The sequence below is a fragment of the Homo sapiens genome, chromosome 2 (genome assembly GCF_000001405.40).
Source record: "Homo sapiens chromosome 2, GRCh38.p14 Primary Assembly".
Classification (NCBI taxonomy): Eukaryota; Metazoa; Chordata; class Mammalia; order Primates; family Hominidae; genus Homo; species Homo sapiens.
In genome coordinates, this window is record NC_000002.12 from 238820167 (window position 1) to 238830039 (window position 9873).

The 9873-nt window shown below is 39.5% G+C and overlaps 1 annotated feature.

The window, feature by feature from the left end:
* Nucleotides 1805–1974: an enhancer, noted in NCBI's record as "experimental_57404 CRE fragment used in MPRA reporter constructs". NCBI's record gives its function as "activates a minimal promoter by MPRAs in K562 erythroleukemia cells, with activity observed for both the introgressed and non-introgressed 2:239730697 variant alleles {active_cell/tissue: K562}" and the evidence as "EXISTENCE:reporter gene assay evidence [ECO:0000049][PMID:34662402]".

The window sequence follows — 9873 nt, forward strand, 5'->3', positions numbered from 1 at the left end:
CTTGAAACATAACCATCATTTGACCCAGCAATCCTATTACTGGGTATATACCTGAAGGAAAATAAACTATTCTACCAAAAAGATGCATGCACACATATGTTCATTGCAGCACTATTCACAATAGCAAAGACATGAAGTCAACCTAGATGTCCATCACAGTGGACTGGATAAAGAAAATGTGGTACCTATACACTGTGGAATACTATACAGCCATAAAAAAGAATGAGATCATGTCCTTGACAGCAACATGCATGTAGCTGTCAGCCATCATCCTAAGTGAATAATTGGAAGACAGGAGGGTCTGTATCAGTGAAATTGGAACACAAGACCAAATACCACATATTCTCACTTATAAGTGGGAGTTAAACATTGGGGCTCATGGACATAAAGATGGCAACAATAGACACTAGGGGCTACTGGCGGAGGGAGGGAGAGAGGAAGGAGAACAGGGGTTGAAAAACTAACTTTTGGGTACTAAGCTCAGTACCTGGGTGATGGGATCTTTAGTACCCCAAACCTCAGCATCAAGCAACATACCCATATAACAAACCTGCACGTGTATCCCCTGAATCTAAAATAAAAGTTCAAATGATTTTTTTCATGAAAAAAGTAAAAAAATAAATAAATAAATAACAAAAAAACTCTTAATCACATCTGGAAAGTCCCTTTTGTTATGGAGGGTCACATATTTACAGGCTCTGGGGATTAGAATGTGGGCATCTTGGGGGCCATTATTCTGCCTCCATAGGAACATCGTCCTGAATCAGAAGACAGAAGTGCTCCTTGTGGGAGAGGAATTGCAGGAAGTGAAGCTCTGTGTTAGTCACAGGGCTCTCCCTGGGCTCTCTTGGGGAGAGGGGACAGGGACATGAAAAGCACAGCCTGTGAAACTCAAGGCAGTGTCTGCGAGAATGAGCATGAGAACGATCTCTAACGCCTACATCAGACTTCACTCTTGTGCACTCTTTGTCTTAGTCATTAGGGCCAGCTCACTGGATGTGTGCCGTTTTTCATCCCAATTTATAAAAAAACAAATGAGGTCATGAAACGTTGAGTTACTCACCCAAGATCACAACTCTACATATCTGTCAAGGTGGTGAGGTCTGCAGACAAATCAAGGACAGAATGCCCATCTTTCCCTTTTAAGGTGAATTCAAATATTTTAGAATCTCAGAGAAGCCCCTTCCAAAGAAAGGTGGCATTTTTCATGATCACTTTCCCACATGAAAGACCTCACTGAAGGAGCCAGAGGGTTGAAACCCTCAGATGCCGAAGGAGCCCTTCTTCCTGCGATGCAAAGATCTTTAAGCCACGATTCATGATGCCAACAATCTGTTGCTGACTCTTCTAAGTGTAAATCAACTTGACAATGCACATTCTCTGCCTCATGTGCTCTTCAGACCCAGCCTCTTCACAGGACGCTGCTTCGTGATGTAAGCTCTGGACAATGTGAGCTGTGGAGTGTGATTAATGAGCCACGTGTCAGCAGGAGGATCAGAGATTGTGTGTGTGTGTGCCTTCGTGTGTTGGTGTGTCCTCCCTGAAGTTCAGGGCTCTGGGAGTCCCTTCCCTACCGAGAAAAAGGAGGGGGAAGCACAAACTCCATTGTAAAAAGGATAAAACGTCAAAGGAGAAGTTACTTAGCATGAAATATTTTCACAACCCAAAACGATAAGGAATGTTAGGATGAAGAGAAAAAGGAGTCAAGGACAAGCATGAGCTTCAGGGTGGTGGGCAGTGGTCCCTCCTCCCTCCTCACTTGGGAGGACGTGAACATGCCCTTGGCTCCTGGGTCTGTGCAGAGCTGCCCTTCATCATCAATACCCTTGTCCCCAAACAAGTAGGAACTTCCAGGTAAATCTACAAGTGTGTGGGCCAGCTGTCCTATTCGATGCAGACTCCCGATCTAAATGCTCTGCCTCTCTGGGCTTGGGTTCCATTGTTCACACCGCTAAGCCTGCCCACACCCAGGTCCAGAAGCATCCTGGCCACATACCCAGTGCCAGGGAAGGGCCCTGGAGACTGGAGGAGCTGAGCAGGAGGCTCCCCAGGGCTGCTTCCAAGGGCAGAGTCATGCTAAGGAAAGTGAGGGTCAGTGCTCAGGGACCCGAGCTATCATTGCTCCAGGGGTGAGTCTGGGGCAGAAGAACACAGAAATAGTTCAGGAGGCAAAGCACTGTGCATCAAGGAGCTCTGACAATGCTGGGCAGCTGAGCCCCTAGGGGTAGGGTACCTGTTTATTTTCTAAAAAATGATACTTGAGAGTGAAAGGGGGGTGTGATTCATACCACCTATGAGGGGCTATCCCCATATGGGTGCTGCGGATGGAAGGGAAGGACCCAGGACCCCACTCGGGACTTCTGCCAAATCCCTGCGTGTCACCTACTGCACAGGCCGGGACACCGCTCTGTCCACATGGGTACTGGAGGATGGATGGCGCACTGATAGGATGCACTTTATGGTATCAGATCTTAAGTGGGGAAGAGCTCACACTTGGAAAACCCCAGAAGTCCCACCTTTGTGAATTTACAAATTAGTTCCCTTCAAGACTTAGAAGACTAGAAAAATTATTCTGAGAAAAAGACTCATTGGCTGCAAGTGGGAGTGATAACTGCAAATGTCATGAGTGATCTACAAGACAACCTAATTGCTTCTACTGACCAGAGTCCTGACCTGGTGAGGCAACCATGCCACAGGCTTTCCAAGTGAGGGAGTTCTATTTCTGCTTGGGCTGTAGAACGCTGCCAGAGAACACTGTTCCTACTCTAACCACCAGAAGACGCCACATAGTCTGTAAGATCATAAGTTTTCTTGAGAGCTGAGGGTACAAGGCAAACAGGTGAACTGAACCACAAAGAGTGACAAGCCCACTGAGGAGAGTTGGGACATATGGATTATTTTATGTTTGGCAAAGTGTAAGAAAAGTTAACACAAAAACAAGCAAAAAAGAAATAGTTGAAATCTAATCGTTTATTAAATGCTGAGTATGGATATATTGGGTTGAATGGTGGCCACCCAAAAAGGCATGTCCATGTCCTAACCCATAGTAGTTGTCATTTTATTTGGTAAAAGGGTCTTTGCAGATGTAATTAGGGATCTTGAAATGAGAACATCATCCTGGAGTACTCAAGTGGGTCCTAAATCTTCTGTCAAGTGCTCTTATAAGACATAAAGAGGAGAAGAAAGTCACAGAGGAAAAGGTGACATGAAGACAGGCAGGGATTGGAGTCATGTGGCCACAAGCCAAGGAAGCTGGCAAACCTAGAAGAGGCAAGGAATGAATTCCACACTAGAGCCTCTGTAGTAATAGGGCACTGCTGACACTTTGTTTCTAGACTTCTGCCTTCCAAAACTGTATGAGAATTAAGTTCTGTTGTTTTAAGCCACTAAGTCTGTGGTAATTTACAGCCCCCTTAACAAACCAATACAATGGGCTGGCGTGACAGTGTGGAATTGATGTAGGAGGCAGGACTCTGTATCAGATGAGATTGAAGGCTGGCTGAAAGGGGTAAGAGGCACCAAAAGCACCTGTCCATAAGACATGCCCACCAGCACCATGACAGTCTACCATGGCCATGGCAATGCCTGGAGGATACTGCCCCTTTCCATGGCAAGGACCTGGAAGTTACCACACTTTTCTAGAAATGTCTGAATAATCTTCCCCTTAATTTGTATGTAATTAAAAGTGGCTATAAATGTGACTACAGAACGGCCCTAAGATGCTACTCTGGGCACACTCCCTATGGGGTAGCCCCACTCCACGAGGAGCAGGACCTCTGCTGCTGCTCTATTTTGTGGCTTCAATAAAAGTTGCTGTCCAACACCACCAGCTTGCTCTTGAATTCTTTCCTAGGTGAAGCCAAGAACCCTCCCAGGCTAAGCCCCAATCTTGGTGCTTGCTTGCCCTGCATCAGAATCCCTGGTAATTCTAGACACAAGAGAGCCCGCACTCACTCACTGACTTTTTTCTATGGACCTTTACCAAGTACTTTTGTGAAAGATCACAAAGAGGGAAGGAGACCTGAGAGAGTCTGTATCACTAGACATGAAAGCCTGCCTACATCATGGACCCATGTCCAACATGTAGCAAAAGCCATGCTGGGAAGGGACAGCTCCCAGAAATCAGGCAAAGATGCTCTGTCTTTCACGAAGGGGAGGAAGCAAAAGCCATCTTCTTTACAGGAGGGGCTGGAACCTGACTCAGGCACAGTAAACTGCCCTGATACAAAGCGGAAGTCTACTACTTGTTGCTGAAGGAGGATTAGGAAACTCTCTTCTACCCAAGACCCTCCCAGACACTAACAAACAAGAATTTGGTTGTCATGGGGGAAAGTTAGGGATGCTGCCACAACCCCACCTTTGAGGCCCAGATGCACACCTATGACTGAGGCTGGAGCAAGAGAATTGAGAAATCTCTCCTGACCCTATCCTAAGGCTTGCACCAAGTAACAAGCATAGCAGGCTGTGACTGGAAGAGACTGTAAGTGGAGAAAGCCCTTCTCTGTGGTGCAGATGTACAGGGCACATTGAGAGCTGAAGGTATAGCAGAAATATAGAGGGAAACCCTATAGCATTCCAGACCCAAGTAATCACAGGGAAGCAGCAGACCTCCAAAGAAGAAATTTGAAGTCTACCCACTAAAGGTAACTCTAAGAACAGAAATTATACACCCAACTCAACTACTGAACAGATTGCCTCAACTCCTGTACAAAACACCTATCATCAGAAGACACATGCTCATTTCTAGGCATAAGTACTATTTAGATTAGTCTCTACTTTTATTTTATGTAGAATTTTCCACATTCAATAAAAAATTATGTAATACACAAAAAGGTATAAAAGATGACCCATTGTTAAGAGACAAAGCTATCAGCAAAATCAGACCCTGAGATGATCAAGATGTTGGAAATATCAGACAGGGATTGAAAATTACTGTAATTAATATAATAGAAGATCCAGGATAAGATAGAAAACACGTATGAACACATGAGAAATTTCAGCAAAGAAGTAAATACTATAAAATAATCAAATGGCCGGGCATGGTGGCTCACACCTATAACCCCAGCACTTTGGGAGGCCAAGGCGGGTGGATCACAAGGTCAAGAGATGGAGACCATCCTGGCCAACATGGTGAAACCCTGTCTCAACTAAAAATACAAAAATTAGCTGGGCATGGTGGCATGCTCCTGTAATCCCAGCTACTTGGGAGTCTGAGGCAGGAGAATCACTTAAACCCAGGAGGTGGAGGTTGCACTGAGCTGAGATCATGCCACTGCACTCCAGCCTGGCGACACAGTGAGATTCTGTCTAAAAAAAAAAAAAAAAAAAAGGGGGGGGGGTGGAGTCAAATGAAAATGATAGAGATTAAAAATTATTAAAAATGTATACCATAGCAGTGAAGAATTCCTTTGAGAAGCTTATCAGAAATGTGTAGAGACATTAGAGGAAAAAATGTTATTGAAGTTAACCAGTAGAAATCATCCAAGCTGAAACAAAGAAGAAAAAAGAGCAGAAAAAGAATAACAAAACAGAGCACTCAAGAGCTGTGAGGCAACATCAAACAGTCTACATATATGTCATTGTAGTCCCAAGAAGAGAAGAGAAAGAGAGCAAGATAGTGGGGCAGGAATAAGATTTGTGTGACAGTAGTTAATAATTTACTAAAATTAAGGAAAAATAGCCCAAGAAATCCCTGAAGATCAAAGAAGTTCAGATATATCACACCAAGATATATTTTAGGACAAATAGAAACAAAAGATAAAGATAAGATCTCTTTAAAAAAAACTGAAGAAAAATACACATCACACGCAGAAGATCAAAGATAAAAGCTAGGGAAGATTTCTTATTAGAAATGTTGTAAGCCAACAGACGATGGAGTGGCATCTTTGAAGTACTGAAAGAAAATGTTGCTGTGTACCCAGAATTCCATATAATGTGAAAATATTTTTCAGAAGTGAAAGCAAAACAGACTTTTTAAGATTAACAAATAAGGTGTGTGTTTCCTGCACACCTGCACAACAAAAAATATTAAGGAAAGTTCTTCAGGCAGAAAATGTATGATATCAATGATACCAAATGCCTATCTGGGTCTGTACAAACAAATGAGGAATGCTGGAACTCATAAAAATGAGTAATCATAAAAGATATTGTTTACTTACATTTTAATCTTTTTCAGAGATGATTGTCTAAACTAAAAGTGCAACAATGGTAAAATTCATAACATATGAAGAATCAAAATGCATGACAACAAAAGCACAAAGAATGAGCAGGAAATGGAAGTACACTATTGTGAGGTTCACATACTACATGTGAAAAGGTATAACAGTATTTGAAGATAGGTTGTGATAACTTAAAGATGCATATTGTAAACTCTAAGGCAACAACAGAGGGAGAAGGAAAGAGAGAACACTGTAGAAATAAACCAATTATAAGGTAAAATTGAATACACAACAATATTTAATTAATCCAAAGGAAGACAAGAAAATTGGAAAAAAGGAACAGAGCGCAGAATGAATAAATGATAAACAAGTGGGCCCAGCGCGGTGGCTCACGCTTGTAATCCCAACACTTTGGGAGGCCGAGGCAGGTGGATCACCTGAGGTGGAGAGTTTAAGATCAGCCTGACCAACATGGAGAAACCCCATCTCTACTAAAAATACAAAATTAGCCAGGCATGGTGGCGCATGCCTGTAGTCCCAGCTACTCGGGGGGCTGAGGCAGGAGAATCACTTGAACCTGGGGAGACGGAGGTTGCAGGTGAGCCGAGATCATGCCATTGCACTCCAGCCTGGGCAACGAGAGCGAAACTCAGTCTCAAAAAAAAAAAAAAAAAAAAGAGGCAAACAAGTTATAGATTTAAATTCAACCCTATAAGCAATTACATGCAGAGGCTCCAATTAAAAGGCAGAGATTGTAAAACTGGAAAGAAAACAAGACTCACTGTATGAGTAAAAAAAAACACAAAATACTTTAAGTGTAAAGACTTAAAAAGGTGAAAAGAGAAAAGATAGAAAAATAAATACCATGTAGAGACCAATTAAAAGAAAGCTGAAGTGGCTATAATAATATCAGAAAAACTAAAATTCAGCATAAGAAATATTACAAAGACAAAGAAAGACCTTATAAACCACTTGGTCAATTCATCAAGAAGATATTGCAATCCTAATTGTGTTTGTCCCTACTCCTGAGCTTCCAAATGCGTAAAGCAAAAGCTGAGAGAACTAAAATGATAAATGGACACATCCATAATGATAGTTGGAGAGTCCCATACTCTTCTCTCGGTAATTGACAGAAAAAGTATACAAAATAATCAGGAGGGCAGTAGAAGATTAGAAAACCAGTACCAACCAACTTGACTTAACTGACATTTCTCAGAACACTCCACCATCTTCAGAATACACATCCTTTTCAGGTGTACACAGAATATTCACTAAGATAGAACATGTTCTGAGCCATGAAACAAATCACAACATTAAAAGGACTGAAATCACACAAAGTGTATTTTCTGACCACAATTTAATCAATTCAGGAATGAACAACAGAATGATATCTGGAAACGCCACCAATAGTTGGCCGGTAAGTAGCAAATAATTCTTAGGTGGAAGAAGAAATACAAAATAAATTATAAAATGATTTGAATTATGAAATAAAAGTAAAACATATCAAAATTTGTAGGATGCAGGTAAAGTCGTGCTTAGATGGAAATTCATATCATTAACTGCTTATATTACAAAAGGTAAAAGGTCTGAAACCACTAAGCTTCCACTCTAATAAACCACAAAAGGAGGAGAAAATTAAACCTACAGTAGACAGAAGGAAGCAAATGATAAAGAGCAGAAGTAAAAAAAAATAGAATCATAAAAACAATAAAATATCAATAACCCCTTATCCAGAATGAATAAGAAAAAAGTGAGAAAATACAAAGTACCAATGTTAGAAATAAAGCAGATACTAAAAAAATTAAAGGGATAATAAGAAAATGTTATGAACAACCTTATGACAATAAATTGGATAACTTAGATGAAACAGAACAATTCCTTTAAAAACACAAACTACCAAAATTCACTCATGAAGAAATAAACCACTTGAATAAATCTACATCTTTTAGAGAAATTGAATTTATAGCGATTTGAATGTATTTGGATTCTACAAGGAAAAGCACAGGCCCAGATGGCTTCACAGATACATATTGCCAAACATTTAAAGAAGAAATAATACCAATCACATGCAAGTTTTTCCAGAAAGTAGAAGTGGAAGAAACACTTCCCAAATCAATTTATGAGGCCAGGATTACCCCGATACCCAAATCAAGAAAAGGCATTACAAGAAAAAAAAAATGAACCGACCAAAAAACTAAATTAGACACAAAACCCTTAACAAAATATTAGCAAATGAAATCCAGTAATATATGAAAGTGATAATATGTCATGTTCAAGTAGGGTCTATCCTATGGATGCAAGGTTGGTTCAACATTTGAAAATCAGTGAACATAACTTGCCATATCAACAGGCTAAAAGTGAAAAAAAATGATATGATCAACTTAATTGATGCAGAAAGAATATTTGGCAAAATGCAAAACCAATTCATTATTTAAAAACAACTCTCAGAAAACTAAAAATAGGGGGGAACTTCTTCAACCTGATAAGGAGCATGTATGAAAAGCCTACATCTCACATCATACTTCTTGGCAAAGACTGAATGCTTTCCTGCTGTGATTGGGGAAAAGGTGAGGATTTCTGTTCTCACTGCATTTTTCAATATTGTACTGGAGGCCTATCCACTGAAATAAGTCAAGAAAAAGTAACGGAAGGCACATAGATAAGGAAGAATAAAAACTCTTTATTCATAGGCAACATGATTATCTATGTAGAAAATCCCAAGAATTTACACAGAAGCTCGTAGAACAGTAAATGAGTTTAGCATGGTCACAGGGTACAAAGTCAGTATACAAAGACCAGTTTAATGTCTGTATACTGTCAATGAACAGCTGAAAAAGAAAACATTAAAAGTGCTGTTTAGCGTTGCACCAAACCAAAATACAAACAAACAAATAAAAATAATTGCCTAGGTATAAATCTAATAATACATGTTCAGGATCTGTTACAGTTTTGAAGACTCAATATTATTAAGATCTCAGTTCTCCCCAAGATGATCTGTAGATTTAAGGCAATACCAACCAAGATGCCAGCAGGTATTTTTGGTAGAAATTCAGATTCTAACATTTATATGGAAATGCAAACAACTTAGAATGGACAAAATAATTTTTAAAAAGAAGTACAAAGTTGGAGGATTCCCACTACTTTAAGACTTGCTATAAAACTACAGAAATCTAGACAGTGTTTTATTAATGTAAGAACAGATATATAGTAATGGAAAAGTACAGATAGCTCAGAAATAGTCTCACATGTATATGGTCAATGGATTTTTGAAAAATTTGCAGGAAAATTCAATTGGGAAAGAATATTAATTTCAATAAGTGGTGCTAGAATAATTGAACATTAATATGTAATAGAAATCAACCTCAACTATTAATCTTACACTGTAAACAAAAATTAGCCAGAAATAAATCACATAAATAAAAGAGCTAAAGCAATGAACGTTCTAAAAGAAAATACAGAAAAGGTCTTTTTGATATCTGAGTTAGGCAAAGATTTCTTAGATATGATACAAAAATACAAACCATGAAAGAAAAGGTGATAAATTGGACTCTATCAACATTGAAAACTTCAACTGTTTGAAAGACTGTTAAGAAAATGAAATTAAGATGAAAACTGCGAGAGAAAATACTTTCAAATATACATTAAATAAAGAAATTTAGAATTTATATTAAATTTTTACTTATAATTTATAAAAATTTAGAATTGTATTTAGAAT